The sequence below is a fragment of the Homo sapiens genome, chromosome 3, assembly GCF_000001405.40.
Source record: "Homo sapiens chromosome 3, GRCh38.p14 Primary Assembly".
Classification (NCBI taxonomy): Eukaryota; Metazoa; Chordata; class Mammalia; order Primates; family Hominidae; genus Homo; species Homo sapiens.
Window position 1 is genome coordinate 50,782,557 of NC_000003.12, and position 22,797 is coordinate 50,805,353.

Here is a 22,797-nt window from a genome sequence, read left to right on the forward strand (position 1 = left end):
TGGGACCTGTTATTTTTTGAGTGTGTGTGTGTGTGTGTGTGTGTGTGTGTAGCTTTTAAAAAAAATTCTTTTCAAAATTAAGTTTTTTTATTTCAATAGGGTTTTTGGGAACAAGTGGTGTTTGGTTACATGAGTGAGTTCTTTAGTGGTGATTTCTGAGATTTTGGTGCACCCATCACCCGAGCAGTGTACACTGTACCCAATGTGTAGCCTTTTATCCCTCACCCACCTCCCACCCTTCCCCCCACCGAGTCCCCAAAGTCCGTTGTATCATGCTTATGCCTTTGCATCCTCATAGCTTAGCTCCCACTTATAAGTGAGAACATATGATGTTTGGTTTTTCATTCCTGAGTTACTTCACTTAGAATAATGGTCTCCAATTCCATCCAGGTTGCTGTGAATGCCATGATTTTTTTTTTTTTTTTGGCTCATGGCTGAGTAGTCCATGGTGTGTGTATATTTGTGTGTGTGTGTGTGTGTGTGTCTGTACCACCACACGTTTTCTTTATGCACTCATTGACTGATGGGCATTTGGGCTAGTTCCATATTTTTGCAGTTGCGAATTGTGCTGCTATAAACATGCGTGTGCATGCGTCTTTTTTGTATGATGACTTCTTTTCCTCTGGGTAGATATCCAGTAGTGGGATTGCTGGATTGAATGGTAGATCTACTTTTTGTTCTTTAAGGAATCTCCACACTGTTTTTCATAGTGGTTGTACCAGTTTATGTTCTCATCAGCAGTATAAAAGTGTTCTCTTTTCACCACATCCGTGCCAATATCTTTTTTTTTTATTTTTAAATTATGATCATTCTTGCAAGAGTAAGGTGGCATCTCATTGTGGTTTTAATTTGCATTTCTTAGATGATTAATGATGTTTAGCATTTTTTCATGTGTTCATTGGCCATTTGTCTATCTCCTTGAGAAGATTCTCAATGGACAATTCTTGAGAATTGTGTATTCATGTCCTTAGCCCATTTTTTGATGTGATTATTTGTTTTTCTCTTCTTGATTTGTTTCACTTCCTTGTAGATTCTGGATATTAGTCCTTCGTTAGATGCATAGTTTGTGAAGATTTTCTCCCACTTTGTGGATTATCTGTTTACTCTGCTGATTATTTCTTCTGCTGTGCAGAAGCTTTTTAGTTTAAGTAAGTCCCATCCATTTATCTTTGTTTTTGTTTCATTTGCTTTTGTGTTTTTGGTTATGAAGTCTTTCCCTAAGCCAGTGTCTAGAAGGGGTTTTCCGATGTTACCTTGTAGAATTTTTATGGTTTCAGGTCTTAGATTTAAGTCTTTGATCCATCTTGAGTTGATTTTTTTTTTTTTTTTGAGATGGAGTCTCGCTCTGTTTTCCAGGCTGGGGTGCAGTGGCATGATCTGGGCTCACCGCAACCTCCGCCTCCCAAGTTTAAGTGATTTTCCTGTCTCGACCTCCCGAGTAGCTGAGATTACAGGTGCCTGCCACCACGCCTGGCTAATTTTTGTATTTTTAGTAGAGGTGGGGTTTCACCACGTTGGCCAGGTTGATCTCGAACTCCTGACCTCAAGTGATCCTCCCGCCTCAGCCTCCCAAAGTGCTGGGATTACAGGCATGAGCCACTGCACCCATCCTTGAGTTGATTTTTGTATAAGGTGAGAGATGGGGATTCAGTTTCATTCTTCTACATGTGACTTGCCAATTATCCCAGCACCATTTGTTGAATAGGGTGTGTCCTTTCCCCACTTTATGTTTTTGTTTGCTTTGTCAAACATCATTTGGCTATAAGTATTTGGGTTTATTTCTGGATTCTCTATTCTGTTCCATTTGTCTATGTGCCTATTTTTATACTAGTACCATGCTGTTTTGGTGACTATAGCCTTATAGTATGGTTTGAGGTAGGGTAATGTGATGCTTGCAGATTTGTTCTTTTTGCTTAGTCTTGCTTCGGCTATGTGGGCTCTTTTTTGGTTCCATATGAATTGTAGATTTGTTTTTTCTAGTTCTGTGAAGAATGATGGTGATATTTTGATGGGAATTGCATTAAATTTGTAGACTGCTTTTGGCAGTGTGTTCATTTTCACAATATTGATTCTACCCATTCATATGCATGGGATGTGTTTCCATTTGTTTGTGTCATCTATGTTTTCTTTCAGCAGTGTTTTATAGTTTTCCTTGTAGAGGTCTTTCACTTCCTTGATTAGGTATATTCGTAAGTATTTTATTTTATTTTATTTGCAGCTAGTGTAAAAGGGGTTGAGTTCTTGATTTGATTCTTAGCCTGGTGGCTGTTGGTGTGTAGCAGTGCTACAAATTTGTGCACATCAATTTTGCATCCTGTGGCCAGGCACGGTGGCTCACGCCTATAATCCCAGCACTTTGGGAAGCCAAGGCGGGCAGATCACCTGAGGTCAGGAGTTTGAGACTAGCCTGGCTAACATGGTGAAACGCTGTCTCTACTAAAAATACAAAAATTAGCTGGGGGTGGTGGTGCACGCCTGTAATCCCAGCTACTTGGGAGGCTGAGCCAGGAGAATTGCTTGAACCTGGGAGGCAGAGGTTGCAGTGAGCTGAGATTGTGCCATTGCACTCCAGCCTGAGCGACAAGAGCAAAACTCCATCTCAAAAAAAAGGTTGTATTCTGAAACTTTTCTGAGTTTATTTTTCAGTTCTAGGAGCTTTTTGGATGGGTCTTTAGGGTTTTTTAGGTATATGATCATGTCATTGGTGAGCAGTGATCATTTGACTGCCTCTACCAATTCGGATGTCCTTTATTTCTTTCTCTTGTCTGATTGCTGTGGCTAGGACTTCCAGTACTATGTTGAAGAGAAGTGGTAAAAGTGGGCATCCATGTCTTGTTCCAGTTCTCAGGTGGAATGCTTTTGTCTTTTCCTCATTCAATATAATGTTGGCTGTGGGTTTGTCATAGATGGCTTTTATTAAGGTATGTCCCTTCTATGCCAATTTTGCTGAGGGTTTTAATCATAAAGGATGCTGGATTTTGTCAAATCCTTTTTATGCATCTATTGAGATGATCATGTGATTTTTGTTTTAAATTCTGTTTATGTAGTATATCACGTTTATTGACTTGCCTATGTTAAACCATCTCTGTGTTCCTGGTATGAAACCCACTTCATCATGGTGGATTATCTTTTAATATACTGTTGGATTCAGTTACGTAGTGTTTTGTTGAGGATTTTTACATCTATGTTCATCAAGGATATTGATGTGTAGTTTTCTTTTTTTGTTATGTCCTATCCTGGTTTTGATATTAAGGTGATACTGGCTTTATAGAATGATTTAGGGAGTCCCTCTTTCTCTATCTTTTGGAATAGTTTCAATAGGATTTTTACCAGTTCTTTGAATGGCTGATAGAATTCAGCTGTGAATCCTTCTGGTCCTGGACTTTTTTTGTTGGCATTTTTTTTTTTTAATTACCATTTTTGTCTCACTGCTTGTTATTTGTCTGTTCAGAGTTTCTGTATCTTCCTGGTTTAATCTAAGAGTGTCGTGTATTTCCAGAAATTTGTCCATCTCTAGGTTTTCTAGTTTGTGCCCATAAAGATGTTCATAGTAGCCTTGAATGATCTTTTGTATTTCTTTGGTATTGCTTGTAATATCTCTTGTTTTGTTTCTAATTGAGCTTATTTGGATTTTCTCTCTTCTTGGTTAATCTTTCTAATGGTCTATCAGTGTTATTCATCTTTTCTTTTTTTCTTTAATCAGCTGATATGAAATTATAAAATTCTAGAAGTCTGAGTATTTGAAACTTACAAAAGTCACCAGAAAATGCAAGCATATTGGGCTTTAGTTTGGTGTTTCCCTTGGTTTAGATGACAGTCCCTCTGTGAGCTCAAGGTCGTCTTCTTGTTTATTTCCTTAGATCTGTTGTTTCAGTGACAACCACAGAACTCTTAGTGGAGGCCAAGGAGAGTCTGAGAACTAAAGAAACGCCCACCATTTCTTTCTTTGCACACTAACACATGGGAACTTATCTCCTGGAGAACACGCTTAAGGAGATGGATGTTAATGATGCTGTGCTGAACTGTTCTTCTCTGCCAACTGCCACAGAAAGTTGTCCGCACTCTGGCCTTTATGATTTAAAGTTGTCCTTACTCTGGCCTTTATGATTTATGAAATCTTTTGCCACAGATTTCACAGATAAAGGGTTTCTCTCCAGTGTTTGTTTTCATGTGTTCATGAAAATACTGCTTCGTGTTGAAATCCTTGCCACACCACTGGCACATGAACTGTTTGTGCCCAACGTGGATGCTCATGTGGGTGTGTAGCTGGTAATTGTACTGAAACCTTTCGTCACAGTTCTCGCATCTGAAGGACTTCTCTCCAGAATGCTGCAGGGAGTGCCCCATGAGTGACATACTGCATTTGAATGATTTTCCACAGGTTTCACATGTAAATGGCATGTCTTTCATGTGTGCAACCATGTGTTTTCGCACATGAGCCATGGCATAGAATTTTTTCTCACAAATTTCACAGGAAAATTTCTTTTCTTCATATCCATGGACGATCTTGATATGTTCATGAAGGATCCAGTTTCTTGAACGATTTATTACAGGCAACAAACTAAATGTTTTTTTCACAGTCTGTTTGCCGGTGAAGATATAGCTCACTTTCCAGGACAAACTTATTGCCACATTTATCACAAATCTGCATGTGCCTATGAGTAATATTCATTTGCTTCTCCAGACACCAGTGAGCATTAAATACCCTGGGGCACACGCCTGTAATCCCAGCACTTTGGGAGGCTGAGGCGGGCTGATCACCTGAGGTCAGGAGTTCGAGACCAGCCTGATCAACATGTAGAAACCCCGTCTCTATTAAAAATACAAAATTAGCTGGGCGTGGTGATGCATGCCTGTAATCCCAGCTACTCGGGAGGCTGAGGCAGGAGAATCGCTTGAACCCGGGAGATGGAGGTTGTGGTGAGCCGAGATCGCGCCATTGCACTCCAGCCTGGGCAACAAGAGTAAAACTGTCTCAAAAACAAAAAACAACCCTGGGTCACTTCTCACAGGTCACACTTAGCTTTCTGCACTGGTGCTTCAGGCTCCTTTGTTTCCCGCTTCTTACGCTTAGGTGGCTCTGCACTCTTCCTGCAACCTCTTGTAGTTCTGGGAGTAGGGGAAGTGGTAGCTGCAGCAACAGAGGCAGCTCTCCTCATTCTTCTTTCTGTAACGCTGACTTTCTCTGTTATCTTCTCCTTTTTCTTCTGCTTATCATTCTCTCCATAGTCATTGCTGTTATCTGTGGCCCCTTCCTCTCTCTCTTCCTCCTCATTGTTTAAGAACAGGAGTCTCTTTGGATTGAGAAGAGGTACCCTTTTCCCCTTTAGGTACATTTAATGTTTGATTATTAAGGTTTACCTCCACTATGATCTGCTCCCTTTTGTAAAAGACTTCTTCCTCTTCTTCCTCCTCCTCTTCTGTGTCATCAGAATTCTCCTGGTCTTCCTTAATAGCATGCACATCAGACTCTGCTCCTGTCTCCCTGAAATGTGGCTGTTCTTCTGTTTCATGGAGATGTAGTTTGCTCATCTTGGTGTCCACAAACACAGAATAAGGACTTCCTGGTTCCCTTTGTTACACTTTGGTGGACAGGTCAAGTTCCTTGTGGCACCATGATGAAAGCTGGATGGCACTTGCCCATGACGGCTATCATCTTGTGCCATTCCTGCTACAGGCACAGCACAGTTTTCAACCAGCTCCTGACGAGAAGTGGCTGTGTGCCTCATTGGTAAATGACTCAATTTATTAAGCAGTTCAGACTGTAAAGAAAATAGCTTTAAAACAAGGTAATTATTAAGACTAAAATATTTTTCCATCCCTAAGAATCACTCAAATGAAAAAAAGATATTCCTGGAAACTGAATTCTTCCAGTGTTGCAGCACCAAAGCATAAGTCAAAAAGGTTTGGTATTATGGCAAGAGCAGACCACTAGTGATTTTTCTTCTGAAGAGAACTACAAGGGACTTGGTGCATCTTATCTGGGCCAGCCACCTCCACCGCCTAGATCAATGCCTTGGCAGTCCTTCCCTGCAGTGGGGGGACTGTAGCCAGAGTCACAACCTCCAGCCAGGCTGGCCCCTCACTCCTGCCCAATGTCTGTCCTCAGGACTGCTCCTCAGACCTGGCCTCGGCTGCTGGCCACAGTGCTATGTGGCCACCACTCCCATGTCTCTGGACTTCCTTCTGAGTGCCTGAGGGCAAGGAGGGTGGCAGGGTGGGCAGAGCGCAGGGAGGGAGGCAGGGGAGGGGGGTGGGTGTGTGGATGTACGTGCAGGGAGGGAGGCGAGTGGCTGCGAGGGCGCGTGCCCGCCCCGTCCCCTTCCTTTGTTGGCCACCCCCCTTTATTATCTTTTCAAAGAACGAGGTTTTTGTTTCATTTATCTTTTGTATTGTTTCTTTTTTGTTTGTTTGTTTCCATTTCATTTAGTTCTGCTCTGATCTTTGTTATTTCTTTTCTTCTGCTGGGTTTGGGTTTAGTTTGTTTTTGTTTCTCTAGTTCCTTGAGGTGTGACCTTAGACTGTCTTCTTTTTTCTCTTTTAGACTTTTTGATATAGGTGTTTAATGCTAAGAACTTTTCTCTTAGCACCTCTTGCTGCATCCCAGAGGTTTTGATAGATTGTGTCACTATTATGCAGTTCAAATAACTTTTAATTTCCATCTTGATTTCATTGTTGACCCAATGATCATTCAGCAGCAGGTTAGTTTCCATGTATTTTCATGGTTTTGAGGGTTCCTTTTGGAGTTAATTTCCAATTTTATTCCACTGTGATCTGAGAGAGTACTTGATGTAATTTTGGTTTTCTTAAATTTATAGAGAGTTGTTTTGTGGCCTGTAATATGATCTATCTTGGAGAATGTTCCATGTACTGATGATTAGAATGTATATTCTGCAGTTGTTGGGTAGAATGTTCTGTAAATATCTGTTAAGTCCATTTGTTCTAGGGTATAGTTTAAGTCCATTGTTTACTTGTGGTCTTTCTGTCTTGATAACCTGTCCAGTGCTGTCAGTGGATTATTGAAGTCCGCCACCATTATTGTGTTGCCATCCATCACATTTCTTAGGTCTAGTAGTAACTGTTTTATAAATTTGGGAGCTCCAGTGTTAGGTGCATATATATCTAGGATTCTGATATTTTCCTGTTGGACTAGTTTTTAAATCTTTTTTGTTTGTTTGTTTGTTTTTAAGACAGTCTCTCTGTCTGTCATCCAGGTTGGAATGCAGTGGTGTGATCTTGGTGTCATCAGTGGTGTGACCTGTGCCTTCTGGGTTCAAGCGATTCTTGTGTCTCAGCCTCCTGAGTAGCTGGGACTGATAGTCATGCACTAGCATGCCTGGCTAATTTTTGTATTTTTAGTAGAGATGGGGTTTCGCCATATTGGCCAGACCGGTCTGGAACTCTTGGCCACAAGTATCTGCCCACCTCGGCTTCCCAAACTGTTGAGATTACAGGCATGAGCCACCATGCGTGGCCTAGTCCTTTCATCATTGTATAATATCCCTCTTTGTGTTTTTTTAACTGCTTTTGCTTTAAAGTTTGTTTCATCTGATGTAAGAATAGCTCCTCCTGCTTGCTTTGGGTGTTCATTTGCATGGAATATCTTTTTCCACCTTTTTACCTTAAGTTTATATGAGTCCTTATATGTTAGGTGAGTCTCTTGAAGACAACAGATGCATGGTTTGTGAATTCTTATCTGTTCTGCCATTCTGTATCTTTTAAGTGGAGCATTTAGGCCATACATTCAGTGTTAGTATTGAGACGTGAGGTACTATTCTGTTCATCATTGTGGTTGTTGCCTGAATACCTTGTTTGTTTTTTTCTCATTTGCTATTGTTTTACAGGTCCTGTGAGATTTATCCTTTAAGGAGGTTCTATTTTGGTGTATTTTGAGGTTTTTGTTTCAATATTTAGAGCTTTTTTTTTTTTTTTAGCAGTTATTTTAGTGCTGGCTTGGTAGTGGCAGATTCTTTCAGCATTTGTTTGTCTGAAAAAGACTATCTTTCCTTCATTTACGAAGCTTAGTTTTGCTAGATACAAAATTCATGACTGATAATTGTTTTGTTTAAGGAGACTAAAGATAGGACCTCAATCCCTTCAAGTTTATAGGGTTTCTGCTGAGAAATCTGCTTTTAATCTGATAAATTTTCCTTTATAGGTTACTTGATGCTTTTGCCTCACAGCTCTTAAGATTCTTTCCTTCGTCTTGACTTTAGATAACCTGATGACTGTGTGCCTGGGCGATGATCTTCCATTCTGACTGGTGTGAGATGGTATCTCATTGTGATTTTGATTTGCATTTTTCTAGTGATCAATGATACTTTTTTTCATATGCTTCTTGGCCACATGAATGTCTTTTTTTGAGAAGCATCTGTTCATGTCCTTTGCCCACTTTTTAATGTTTTTTTTTGTTGTTGTTATAAATTTGTTTAAGTTCCTTGTAGACGATATTAGACCTTTGTCAGATGGATAGATTGCAAAATTTTTCTCCCATTCTGTAGGTTGTTTACTCTGTTGATAGTTTCTTTTGTTATGCAGAAGCTCCTAAGTTTAATAAGATCCCATTTGTCAATGTTTGCCTTTGTTGTGATTGCTTTTGGTGCCTTTGTCATGAAATCTTTGCCTGTTCCTATGTTCCGAATGGTATTGGCCTAGGTGATCTATTACAGTTTTGGGGTTTACATTTAAGTGTTAAATCTATCTTTTTTTTTTTTTTTTTTTTTTTGAGACGGAGTCTTGCTCTGTCGCCCAGGATTGAGTGCAGTGGTGCCATCTCGGCTCACTGCAACCTCTGCCTCCCGGGTTCAAGTGATTCTCCTGCCTCAGCCTCCCAAGTAGCAGGGACTACAGGTGCACGCTACCATGTCTGGCTAATTTTTGTATTTTTAGTTTCACCATGTTGAAATGGGGTTTTACCATGTTGGCCAGGTTGGTCTGGAACTCCTGACCTCAGGTGATCCACCCGCCTCGGCCTCCCAAAGTGCTGGAATTATAGGTGTGAGCCACTGCACTTGGCCAAATGTTTAATCTGTCTTGAGTTGATTTTTGTGCATGGTGTAAGGAAGGGGTCCAGTTTCAATCTTCTGCATATGGTTAGCCAGTTATCCCAGCACCATTTATTGAATAGGGAGTCTTCTTCAATGCTTGTTTTTGTCAGGTTTGTTGAAGATCAGATGGTAGTAAGTGTGTGGCCTTGTTTCTGGGTGCTCTGTTGTTTTCCATTGGTCTCTGTGTTTGTTTTTTGTACTAGTACCATGTTGTTTTAGTTTCTGTGGCCCTGTGGTATAGTTTGAAGTTGGGTAGCATGATGCCTCCAGCTTTGTTCTTTTTGCTTAGGATTGCCTTGGCTATTCGGGATATTTTTTTATTCCTTGGCCATTCGGGATTTTTTTTTGTTCCATGTGAATTTTAAAATAGATTTTTCTAGTTCTGTGAAGAATGTCATTGTAGTTTGATAGGAATAGCATTGAATCTGTAAATTGCTTTGGGCAGTATGACCATTTTAATGATATGGATTCTTCTCTGTTAGCATGAAATATTTTTCCATTTGTTTGTGTCATCTCTGATTTTTTTTTTTTTTGAGCAATGTTTTGTAGTTCTTTTTGTAGACGTCTTTCACTTCTCTGGTTAGCTATATTTCTAGGTATTTCATTCTTTTTATGGCAGTGAATGAGATTCTGTTCCGATTTGGCTCTCAAGTTGGCTGTTGTTGGTGTATAGGAACTCTAGTGATTTTTGCACGTAGATTTTGTATTCTGAGACTTTGCTGAAGTTGTTTTTCAGCTTAAGGAGCTTTGGGGCTGACACTGTGGGGTTTTGTAGGTATAGGACATGTCATCTACAAATGGGTAGTTTGACTTCCTCTCTTCCTATTTGGATGCTGTTTATTTCTTTTTCTTGCCTAATTGTTCTGGAAAGGACTTCCAATACTATGTTGACTAGGAGTGGTGAGAGAGAGCACCTCTGTCTTGTGCCGGTTTTCAAGGGGAATGCTTCCAGCTTTATAGATTGGTTATGACGTTGGCTGTGGGTTTGTCATAGATATCTGTTACTATTTCACCAAGCTTATTGAGAGTTTTTAACATAAATGGTGTTGAATTTTACCAAAAGCCTTTTCTGCATCTGTTGAGATGATCATGTGGTTTTTGTTTCTAGCTCTGTTTATGTGATGAATCACGTTTATTGATTTGCATACGTTAGAGCAATCTTGCATTCCAGGGATAAATTGGTCATAGTGGATAAGCTTTTTGATGTGCTGCTGGATTTGGTTTGCGAATATTTCATTGAGGATTTTTGCACTGATGTTCATTGAGGATATTGGCCTGTTCTCTGCCAGGTTTTGATATCAGGATGATGCTGGCCTCATAGAATGAGTCAAGGAGAAGTCCCTCCTCCTTAGTTTTTTAGAATTGTTTCAGTAAGAATGGTACCAGCTCTTCTTTGTACATCTGTTAGAATTTGGCTGTGAATTTGTCTGGTCCTTGGCCTCTTTTGGTTGGTTGGAAGTTTATTAAAATTTAGTTTCAGAGCTCATTATTGGTCTGTTCACATATTCAGTTTCTTCCTGGTTCAGTCTTGGGAGGGGGTATGTGTCCAGGAATGTAAACGTTTCTTCCAGATTTTTTGGTTTATATGTATAGAGGTGTTCATAATAGTCTCTGATGGTTATTTGAATTTTTTTGGGGTCAGTGGTAATATCCCCTTTGCTGTTTCTAATTGTGTTTATTTGGATATTCACTTTTTTCTTCTTTATTAGTCTAGCTAGCCATCTATCTGTTTTATTAATTTTCTTTTTCTTTTTCTTTTTTTTTTTTTTTTTGAGGCAGAGTTTTGCTCTTGTTGCCCAGGCTGGAGTGTAGTGGCATGATTTCAGCTCACTGCAACCTCTACGTCCTGGCTTCAAGTGATTCTCCTGCCTCAGCCTCCCGTAGGTGGGATTACAGGCATGTGCCACCACACCCAGCTAATTTTTGTATTTTTTAGTAGAGACGGGATTTCGCCTTGTTGGTCAGGCTGGTCTCGAACTCCTGATCTCACGTGATCCACCTGCCTCAGCCTCCCAAAGTGCTGGGATTACAGGCGTGAGCCACCTTGCCTGGCCTATTTTATTAATTTTCTTTTCAAAAATTCAACCCCTGCCTTCAATGATCTTTTGAATGGTTTTTCATGTTTTCCTCTCCTTCTGTGCAACCTCTGATTTAGGTTATTTCTTGTCTTCTACTAGCTTTGGGCTTGATTTACTCTTAGCTCCCTAATTCTTTTAGTTGTGATGTTAGATTGAGACAGATCTTTCTTTTTGGTGTAGGCATTTAGTGCTATATATTTTCCTTTTAACACTGCCTTAGCTGTGTCCCAGAGATTTTGGGTATATTATATTTTTGTTCTCATTAGTTTCAAAGAACTTGTTGATTTTTGCCTTGATTTCATTATTTACCCAGAAGTCATTTGGGAGCAGTTTATTTAACTTATGTGTAATCGTAAGGTTTTGAGTGAATTTCCTGGTGTTGATTTTTAATTTGATTGTGCTGTGGTCTGACAGAGTGGTTGTTATGATTTCACTTCTTTTGCATTTGCTGAGGAGTGTTTTGTGTCCGAGTATGTGGTCAATTTTAGAATGTGTGTGATGTGGCAATGAGAAGAATGTATGTTTTGTTGCTTTTGGGTGGAGAGTTCTGTAAATTTCTATCAGATCCATTTGATCCAGTGCTGAGTTCAAGTACTGAATACCTTTGTTAATTTCTGCCTTGATGATCTATTGAATACTGTCAGTGGCATGTTGAAGTTTCCCACTATTGTTGTGTGGGAGTCTGTGTCTCTTTGTAGGTCTCTAAGAACTTGCTTTATGAATCTGGGTGCTCCTGTGTTAGGTGCATATATATTTAGGATAGTTAAGTCTTCTCGTTGAATTGAATCCTTTACCATTATGTAATGCCCTAATTTGTCTTTTTTGATCTTCGTTGGTTTAAAGTCTGTTTTGTCTGAAATTAGGATTGCAACCCCTGCTTTTTTCTATTTTGTCTTGCTTGGTAGATTTTTCTCCATCCCTTTATTTCAAGTCTGTGGGTGTTTGCATGTGACATGGATCTCTCGAAGACAGCATATTAATGGGTCTTGGTTCTTTGTCTAGCTTGCTACTCTGCACCTTTTAATTGGGGCATTTATCCTGTTTACATTCAGGGTTATTATTGATATGTGTAGATTTGATCTTGTCATCATGGTGTTAGCTAGTTAATATGGAGACATGTTTGTGTGGTTGCTTTATAGTGTTACTGGTCTGTGTGCTTAAGTTTGTGTTTGTGGTGGCTGGTAGTGGTCTTTCCTTTCCATATTTAGTGCTTCCTTCAGGAGCTCTTTTAAGGCGGGTCTGAGGGTAACGAATTTCCTCAGTGTTTGATTGTCTGAAAAGGATCTTATTTCTTGTTGGCTTGTGAAGCTCAGTTTGGCCAGCTATGAATTCTGGGTTTGAATCTCTCTTTTTTTTTTAAAGAATATGGAATATTGGCCCCCAATCTCTTCTGGCTTGGGTTTCTCCTGAGAGGTCCACTGTTAGTCTGATGGGTTTGCCTTTGTAGGTTACCTGATCTTTCATTCTAGCTACCTTTAACATTTTTTCTTTCATTTTGACTTTGGAGAATCTGATGATTATATATCTTGGAGATGATCTTCTTGTGAAGTATGTTACTGGGGTTCTCTGCATTTCCTGCATTTAAATGTTGGCCTGTCGAGGTTGGAGGAAGCTCTCATTGTTCATATCCTGATATATGTTTTTCAAGTTTCTTACACACTCCCTGTCTCTTTCAGGGACACCAATGAGTTATGGATTTTGTCTCTTTTTTATTTTTTTGAGATGGAGTCTTGCTCTGTTGCCAGGCTGGAGTGCCGTGGCATGATCTCAGCTCACTGCAACCTCTGCCTCCCGGGTTCAAGTGATTCTCCTGTCTCAGCCTCCTGAGTAGCTGGGACTACAGGTGCGTGCCACCACACCCAGCTAATTTTTGTATTTTTGGTAGAGATGGGGTTTCACCATGTTGGCAAGGATGGCCTTGATCTCTTGACTTCGTGATCTGCCTGCCTTGGCCTCTGGATTTGGTCTGTTTACATAAGCCCATATTTCTTGGAGATTTTGTTCCTTTTCATTCTTTTTCTCTGTTATTTTCTGACTGTTTTATTTCAGAAGCCCAGTCCTCAAGCTCTGAGATTCTTTCCTCACCTTGGTCTGTTCTGCTGTTGATACTTGTGATTGCATTATCAAATTCTTGTAGTGTGTTTTGCAGCTCTTTCAGGTCAGTTACATTCTTTTCTATACTGGCTATTTTGACTTTCAGCTCTTGTATCATTTTATTGTGATACTTAGCTTCCTTGGGTTGGGTTTTGACATACTCTGTTATCGCAATGGTCTTCCTCCCTAACCATGTTCTGAATTATATTTCTGTCATTTTAGCCATCTGAGCGCCATTGGGAACCCTTTCTGGAGAGGTGGTGTGGTTATTTTTTTTTTTTTTCAGACGGAGTCTGGCTCTGTCCCCCAGGCTGGAGTGCAGTGGTGTGATTTTGGCTAACTGCAAGCTCCGCCTCCTGGGTTCACGCCATTCTCCTGCCTCAGCCTCCCGAGTAGCTGGGACTATAGGCGCCCACCACCATGCCCAGCTAATTTTTTTTTGTATTTTTAGTAGAGACGGGGTTTCACCATGGTCTGGATCTCCTGACCTCGTGATCCGCCCCCCTCGGCCTCCCAAAGTGCTGGGATTACAGGCGTGAGCCACCATGCCCAGCCATTTTTTTTTTGTTTTGTTTTTTTTGAGATGGAGTTTTGCTCTTCTTGCCCAGGCTGGGGTGCAATGGTGCAATCTTGGCTCACTGCAACCTCTGCCTCCCGGGTTCAAGCTATTCTCCTGCCTCAGCCTCCCTAGTAGCTGGGATTATAGGCATGCGTCACCACGCTCGGCTAATTTTGTATTTTTAGTAGAGACGGTGTTTCTCCATGTTGGTCAGGCTGGTCTCGAACTCCCAACTTCAGGTGATTTGCCCACCTTGGCCTCCCAAAGTGTTGGGATTACAGGCGTGAGCCACCGCGTCCAGCCAGTGTGGTTGTTTATATGAAAGAAGGCACTCTGACTTTTTGAGTTGTCAGAGTTATTGCACTGATTCTTTTTATCTTTGTGGGCTGATGTTTTTTCAGTCTTTGAAGTTGCTGACCTTTAGATTTTTTTTTTTTACTTTTATCCTAGTTGATGACCTTGAGGGTTTTGATTGCGGTATAAGGTGAATTCAGCCGACTGGCTTAGTTTGCAGAAGATTTTAGGGGGCTAATGCTCACTCACAACTTCTGGGCTGCATGCTCTAACTCTGGGTGACTTTTGTTGTATCCTGACTTTGCTCTCTGACTCCTTGAGGTTAGGAATCCACTGTGCTGGTGGGGGTGGGGGCTGAGGTGCTCCTGGAACACAGGTCACTTACACTCCAATTGGAGTGCATTTTGTAGTGTGGTGGCAGCAGGATCCATGTTTGTTTGCATGTGCTGCCAGCAGCAGCATTGACAACATGGCAGAGTGCACACTGCTGCATCAGGGTGCTAGTGAATGCCGAGGTTCTTGCCTTTGTGCAGGCATTCACCACAGTGGAAGAGGCGGTATGGCTGGGGGGAGGTTGGGGGCTTCTGCTGGTGACTGTGCAAATGGTTGTGCTGGTGGTGGTGTGAGGATGGAGGTGGGGCGCTGTCAGGCGCAGGCCTGTGTGTTATGGGGTAGTCACTCAGAAAGTGGGAGAGTCCGCTCTTCTCTAGGTCTAGTTTCACTCCTGTGGCAGCGTTGGTGCAAGGGCAGGGCATTGGAAGGGATGGGTCTGCCTTGCTTTGTGCCCTGCAAGGCTCTGACTGCACTGGTGGTTCAGCTGTGTCTGGTTGGTCATCTTGTCCTCTCTGTTGTCCCGGACAGCAGATGAGACCTAAGGCGCAGCACCTTTCCAGCTAAATGTCAGCACTGCAGAGGCTTCTCTGCTTCTGTGTTCTGGAAGAGCCACTTGTAGTATTTTTGAGGCACCTCCGTACTGTTCTCCATAGTGGTATACTAGTTTACATCTCCAGCACAGCATATAAGGGTTCTGTTTTCTCTGCATCCTTGCCAGCATTTGTTACTTTTGTCTTTTTGATGATAGCCATTTTAACTGGGGGTGAGATGATACCTCATTGTTGGTTTTGTTTGCAATTCTGTGATGATTAATGATGTTGAGCATTTTTTCATACATTTATTGGCCATTTATATGTCTTTTTTGAGAATGTTCAGATTATTTGCCCATTTTCAATTTTAATTGTTTCAACCTTTAATATGAACATTAATCGTATTTTCAAATCTAATGACGAATTACAGATAGAGAATTTATGAAAATTATGGGGCACAGCAGTCAGAGAATTAGGCAAAGAATACAAAAAACTGTAACACATATGTAACTCTTCTTGTAATGATGAACAGAGAAAGAATAGCTCATTTTGTATTCTGACCACAGTATAAATAAATGCAAAAATATACGGCAGTTAAGCGATAGCTGTTAGGTAGAAAGTATTGATCACAGGTGGAATCTGTTACATGCGAGGGGGGAAATATATCAAGAGATTTAGTTAACAATGCTGGAAAAACCATGCCAGGCAACCAGATCTTGAGGCAAGAGTCATACTTCACAGAGAAAAAGAGCAAAATGTAGAGAAAAACCAGGTCTCGCTATGGAATGGTCTGTAGTCTTTTAACCACAGTGCCATAGAAGGAACTTGACCAAGCACTGCCCATGATCTGCAGAGTTATGTGCATAATACTCAGTTTTCCTGCTAGGGATACCCCAGTTCATGACAATGACAAGAGAATGAGAAAGGCCACCTACAAATGAAATGAGATCATCCCACCTGCAATGGCAGATATGGTCTTATTAGTGCCATCTCTCAGAAAGAACAGTGTCCTGGGGGAAGCAGATCAGATATTAGGTCAAGCCTGTGTTCTTACAGGAGCTCATTTGCCCATTTTGTAATTGGATTTTTTTTTTTTATTTTGCTTTTGAGATGTTTGAGTTTCTTGTATATTTTGGTTATTAAGTCTCCTGTCAGATGAGTGGTTTCAGAATATTTTCTCCCATTCTGTAGGTTGTCTTTTCACTTTATTATTTCCTTTGCTGTGCAGAGCTTTTTCATTTTATATAATCCAGTTTGTTTATTTTTGCTTGTGTTGCTTTGAGGTCTTATTTATAAAATCTTTGTGTAGACCAATGTCCTGAAGCATTTCTCCTGTTTACTTATAGTAGTTTTATAGTTTTGGGTTTTACATTTAGGTTTTTGATTTACTTTCAGTTGATTTTTGTATAGAGTGAGAGGTAGAAGTCTAGTTTCATTGTTCTGCATATGGATATCCAGTTTTTTCAGCATAATTTATTGAAAAAATGGTCCTTTTGCCAATGAATGTTCTTGGTACTTTTATCAAAAACTAATTGGCTATAGATATGTGCATTAATTTCTGGGTTGTCTATACTGTTTTAGTGGTCTGTGTGTCTGTTTTTATGCCAGTATCATGCTGTTTTGGTTACTATTGCTTTGTAGTATGTTTTGAGGTGTAGTAGTATGAGCTTTGCTCTTTTTGCCCAAGATTGCTTTGAGTATTTGGGATCTTTTCTGGTTCCATGCCAATTTTAGGATATTCCCCCTTATTTCTGTTAAGAATGTCATTGGTATTTTGTTAGGGATTGCATCGAATCTGTAGATTGCTTAGGGTAGTATGGCCATTTCAACAATATTAATTTTTCTGATTCATGAACTTGGCCTTTCTTTCCATTTCTTTGGGTCCTCTTCGATTTCTTTTATCAGTGTTTTGTAGTTTTCCTTGTAGAGATCTTTCACCTCCTTGGTTAGATTTATTCTTAGGTATTTTTTTTTGTAGCAATTGTAAATAGGATTGCCTTCTTCATTTTTTTGGCTCCTCCATTGTTCCTGTATAGAAGTGATACTGATTTTTGTTCATTAATTTTATATCATGCAAGTTTACTGAATTAGTTTATCAGTTCTAAGAGTATTTTGGTAGAGTCTTTAGGTTTTTGTATATATAAGATCATGTCATCTGCAAACAGGGACAGTTTGGCTTTCTGCTTTCCAGTTTTGATGCCTCTTATTTATTTTTCTTGCCTGATTGCTCTGGCTAGGACATCTAGTGCTATGTTGAATAAGAGTGGAGATCCTTGTCTTGTTCCAGTTCTTAGAGGAAAAGCTTTCAGTTTTTTCCCCATTCCAGAAGATGCTAGCTGTGGGTTTGTTATATATGGCCTTTGTATATTGAGATGCTTTTTTTCTACACATAATTTATTAAGTGTTTTCATCATGAAGGGATGTTGAATTTCATTAAGAGCTTTCTCTGAGTCTACTGAGGTGTTACGGTTTTTGTCCTTCATTTTATTGATATGATGTATGATGTTTGTTTATTTGCATGTGTTGAATTATTCTTATATTCCTGGGATTTATCCCACTTGGTTATGGTTATCTTTTTGATATGTTGTTGGCTTTGGTTTGCTAGTATTTTGTCGAGGACTTTTGTGTCTGTGTTCATCAGGGATATTGGCATGTAGTTTTCTTTTCTGATTGTGTCTTTATGTGGTTTTGCTATCAAGGTAATGCTGGACTTGTAGAATGAATTAGTGAGAATTCCCTGCTTCAACATTTTGAAGTAGTTTGAGAAGACTTGGTATTAATTCTTCTTTAAAAGAATGATAGAATTCTTTGGTGAAGCCATTATTTTTGGACTTTTCTTTGTTGAAAGACCTTTTATTACTGAGTTGTCTCATTACTTGTTATTATTGTTATTGGTTCAGATTTTCTTTCTTCTTAGTTTACTTTTGGTATGTTGTAGGTGTCCAGGAATTTATCTGTTCTAGGTTTTTAAATTTATTGACATATTTCATAGTAATCACCAATGAGCCTTTGTATTTCCATGGCTCCTGTTGTGCTGTCTCATTTTTCACTTCTGATTTTATTTGGATCTTCTCTTTTTTCTTAGTCTAGCTAATGGTTTACCAATTTTATTTATTTTCAAAAAAAACAACTTTTAGTTTTGTTGATCTTTTGTTTTTAGTCTCAATTTTGTTTATTTCTGTTCTGGTCATTATTATTTCTTTACTTCTGCTAACTTTTTGTTTTGGTTTCTTCTTGCTTTTCTAGTTCCTTGAGGTGCACCATTAGGTTATATGAAATCTTTCTAGTTTTTTTAATTTCAGCATATATTTCCCTGAAGTTTCCTCTTAATACTGCTTTTGCTGTGTTCCCTAGCTTTTGGGATCTTACGATTCTATTTTCATTTCAAGAAATTTTGAAATTCATTCTTAATTTCTTCTTCCATCCATTGGTCATTCAGGAGCATGTTGTTTAGTTTCCATGCATTTATATAGTTTCAGATGTTCCTTTTCTTATTGATATCTAGTTTTATTCCATTTTGGTCTGAGAAGATACTTGGTATGATTTTGATCTTGTTATAAATAAAGTTTCAGTGTCGTAAAAGAAATAGTGCTTGAATATAAAATTTTCTGTTTTTTTTCTTCTCAGCAAGGCAATTTACTTCTATAGAAGGGTGCACCCTCACAGATGGAGCAATGGTGAGCACACACCTGGACAAGGGAGGGGAAGGGGTTCTGATTCCTGACACATGTGGCCCCTGCTGCTTGTTATTCCTCCTATTAGCTAGGGTTAGGCCGCACAGGCTAAACTAATTCTGATTGGCTAATTTAAAGAGAGTGACCTGGTGAGTGGTTTGGCAGGAAAAATGGTTATGGCAGAGCAGGTAATTGGAATGAGTTAGGGTGCAGCAGGTAATTGGAATGAGTCAGGGTGGAGCAGATAATTGGAATGAGTCAGGGTGGAGCAGGTAATTGGAAGGAGTCAGGGTGGAGCAGGTGATTGAAAAAGGTTGCTTTATGAGGAAGTTAAGTTTAAAAGTAGAAGGCAAAGAATTGAACATACTGACATATTGATACTTTGAAGAGAAATTTAGAACTCATATCTAACAATCTTAAAGTTTTTTTTGAGACTTGTTTTGTGTCCTAACATATAGTTAATCCTGGAGAATGTTCAATGGGCTGATGAGGAGAATGTGTATTCTATAGCTGTTGGGTGAAATGTTCTACAAATATCTGTTACATCCATTTGGTCTGTGGTGCAGTTTAAATCTGATGTCCCATTGTTGGTTTTCTGTCAAGATGATCTGTCCATTGCTGAGAGTGGAGTGTTGAAGTCCACAGCTATTATTGTATTTGGATCTATTTCTTCATTTGGGTCTAATAGTATTTGTTTTATATGTCTGGGTGTTCTGATGTTGGGTGCATATATATTTATAATTGTTATATTCTCTTGCTAACTTGATTGCTTTATTACTGTGTTGCCTTGTCTCTTTTTACAGCTTTTAACTACAGGTCTTTTTCGTCCAATATAAGTATAGCTATTCATGCTCACTTTTGGTTTTCTTTTGCATGGAATATCTTTTTTATTCCTTCAGTTACAGTTTTTGTGTGTCTTTATAGGTGAGGTGAGTTGCTTGTAGGCAGTATATCATAGGGTCTTTCTTTTTTATCCATTCAACCTATCTATGTCTTCTAAATGTATATTTAATCCATTTATATTCAAGATTATTATTGATAGGGATTTACTCCTATTATTTTACTGTTTTCTGATTGTTTTGTATATTCTTTGTTTCTTACTTCCTCCCATTATTTTTACAGTTGAGTGGTGTTTTACATTGATAAGGTTTTATTTGTTTTTCTCTCTTGTTTGTGTATGAGTCCTACCAATGAGTTTTATTGTTCCGTATGTTTTATCGATGGTGGTTATCATCTTTTTTACTTCCAGATATAAGACTCTCTTGAGTATTTCTTGCAAGATCAGTTTAGTGGTGATGAGTTTTCTTAGTTTTTCTTGTCTGTGAAAGATTTTATTTATTCTTCATTTTTAATGTGTAGGTTTGCTGGGTATAATATTCCTCATTGCCATTTTTAATTTTTATTTTTTCTTTCAGTACTTTGAATATATCATCCCACTCTCTATTGGCCTGTAAGTTTTCTCCTGAGAAATTTACTGTTAGTCTAGTGGAGTTTCCTTTGTATGTGACTTGACACTTCTCTCTTGCTGCTTTTAAAATTATTTCTTTGTCTTTGACTTTTGAAAATTTGATATATAATATATGTCTCTCAGTGAGGACCTGTTTGGGTTGAATCTGTTGGGGTTCTTTGAGCTTCCTGGTTCTGGATGTCCATATCTCTCCCAATGCTTAGGGGAATTTTCTTCTATTATTTCATTAAACATGTTTTCCCCACCTTTCCCTTCTCTTCTCCTTCTGGAACATCTGTAATACTTTATTCACATGATGGTGTTTCATAAATCCTGCAGGCTTTCTTCATTTTTATAATTTAGTTTTTGTCTGCCTATGTTATTTCAAAAGACCTGTCTTGAAGTACAGAAATTCTTTTTTTTTTAAGATTTTATGTATTTATGTATTTATTTATTTATTTATTTATTTATTTTAGTATTTATTGATCATTCTTGGGTGTTTCTCGGAGACGGGGATTTGGCAGGGTCGTAGGACAATAGTGGAGGGAAGGTCAGCAGATAAACATGTGAACAAGGGTCTCTGGTTTTCCTAGGCAGAGGACCCTGCAGCCTTCTGCAGTGTTTGTGTCCCTGGGTACTTGAGATTAGGGAGTGGTGATGACTCTTAACGAGCATGCTGCCTTCAAGCATCTGTTTAACAAAGCACATCTTGGACCGCCCTTAATCCATTTAAACCTGAGTGGACACAGCACATGTTTCAGAGAGCACGGGGTTGGGGGTAAGGCCATAGATTAACAGCATCCCAAGGCAGAAGAATTTTTCTTAGTACAGAACAAAATGGAGTCTCCCATGTCTACTTCTTTCTACACAGACACAGCAACAATCTGATTTCTCTTTCCTTTCCCCACACTTCCCCCCCTTCCACTCAACAAAACTGCCATCGTCATCATGGCCTGTTCTCAATGAGCTGCTGGGTACACCTCCCAGACGGGGTGGCGGCCGGGCAGAGGGGCCCCCCACCTCCCAGACAGCGTGGCTGGGCAGAGGTGCCCCCCACCTCCCAGATGGGGCGGCTACCAGGCGGGGGCTGCCCCCCACCTCCCTCCCAGATGGGGCGGCTGGCCGGGCGGGGGCTGCCCCCCACCTCCCTCCTGGACAGGGCGGCTGGCTGGGCGGGGGCTGCCCCCCACCTCCCTCCTGGAAGGGGCAGCTGGCCGGGTTGGGGCTGCCCCCCACCTCCATCCTGGACGGGGCGGCTGGCCGGGCGGGGGCTGTCCCCCACCTCCTGGAGGGGGCGGCTGCCGGGTGGAGACGCTCCTCACTTCCCAGATGGGGCGGCTGCCGGGCAGAGGGGCTCCTCACTTCTCAGACAGGGCGGCCGGGCAGAGACACTCCTCACCTCCCAGACGGGGTGGTGGTCGGGCAGAGACACTCCTTAGTTCCCAGACGGGGTCGCGGCCGGGCAGAGGCGCTCCTTACATCTCAGACGGGGCGGCGGGGCAGAGGCGCTCCCCACATCTCAGATGATGGGGGGCGGGGTAGAGGCACTCCCCACATCTCAGATGATGGGCGGCCGGGCAGAGACGCTCCTCACTTCCTAGATAGGATGGCGGCCGGGAAGAGGCGCTCCTCACTTCCCAGACTGGGCGGCCAGGCAGAGGGGCTCCTCACATCCCAGACGATGGGTGGCCAGGCAGAGACGCTCCTCGCTTCCCAGACGGGGTGGCGGCTGGGCAGAGGCTGCAATCTCGGCACTTTGGGAGGCCAAGGCAGGCGGCTGGGAGGTGGAGGTTGTAGCGAGCCGAGATCACGTCACTGCACTCCAGCCTGGGCAACATTGAGCACTGAGTGAGCAAGACTCCGTCTGCAATCCCGGTACCTTGGGAGGCTGAGGCTGGCGGATCACTCACGTTTAGGAGCTGGAGACCAGCCCGGCTAACACGGCGAAACCCCATCTCCACCAAAAATATACGAAAACCAGTCAGGCGTGGCGGCTGGCGCCTGCAATCCCAGGCACTCGGCAGGCTGAAGCAGGAGAATCAGGCAGGGAGGTTGTAGTGAGCCAAGATGGCGGCACTATAGTCCAGCCTCCGCTTGGCATCAGAGGGAGACCGTGGAGAGAGAGGGAGAGAGAGACCGTGGGGAGAGGGAGAGGGGGAGGGGGAGGGGAGAAATTCTTTCTTCTGCTTAGTCTAGTCTGTTCTAGAAGCTCTTGATTTTATTTTTTTAGTCATTGAATTCTTCAGCTGTAGGATTTTTGTTTGGCTTATCTATCTTTTTTGAATTTCTTATTCAAATCATGCGTTGATTTCCCCAATTTTGTTGAATCATCTGTCTTCTCTTGTATGGCACTGAGTTTCCTTAAGATTAACATTTAATTCTTTTTCTGGCATTTCACATATTTTCTTATGATTGAGATCTGTTACTGGATAATCGTTTTTCTTTGTAGGTGACGTGTTTTCTTGCTTTTTCTTGGTTGATATGTCCCTATATTGATTTGTATCCATCTAGTGGAAAAGTCGCCTCTTCCAATTTTATGGTGTAGGTTTCTTAGGGAAATTCTTATTTGCATGAGTCTTGGGGTGTTGGTTTGGTGGAGTGTGTTGACCTAGTTTCCATGTAGTTTTTTCAGCTGTAACCCATAGTAGTGGAATTTGCATGTTTCTGAGTGGCCTAGGCTGAGAGAGTTTGTGGTGATGATGGTACAGGTTTTCCAGGGGTGGGCTTGCTGGGGCTGTTTC

The 22,797-nt window shown here is 40.9% G+C and overlaps 1 protein-coding gene and 1 pseudogene across 22 annotated transcripts in view, besides 1 other annotated feature; one reads left to right on the plus strand and one right to left on the minus strand.

Annotated features, from left to right (window-relative positions):
• The window catches only part of DOCK3 (dedicator of cytokinesis 3), a 709,272-nt gene that overhangs the window by 107,630 nt on the left and 578,845 nt on the right, over positions 1–22,797 (plus strand). The window lies entirely within an intron of this gene.
• ZNF652P1 (zinc finger protein 652 pseudogene 1) lies at positions 3,699–6,290 on the minus strand (annotated as a pseudogene).
• Positions 8,103–8,849: an enhancer, noted in NCBI's record as "OCT4-NANOG hESC enhancer chr3:50828090-50828836 (GRCh37/hg19 assembly coordinates)". NCBI's record gives its function as "activates a minimal SCP1, AML or CMV promoter by ChIP-STARR-seq in primed H9 embryonic stem cells {active_cell/tissue: H9 hESC(primed)}" and the evidence as "EXISTENCE:reporter gene assay evidence [ECO:0000049][PMID:30033119]".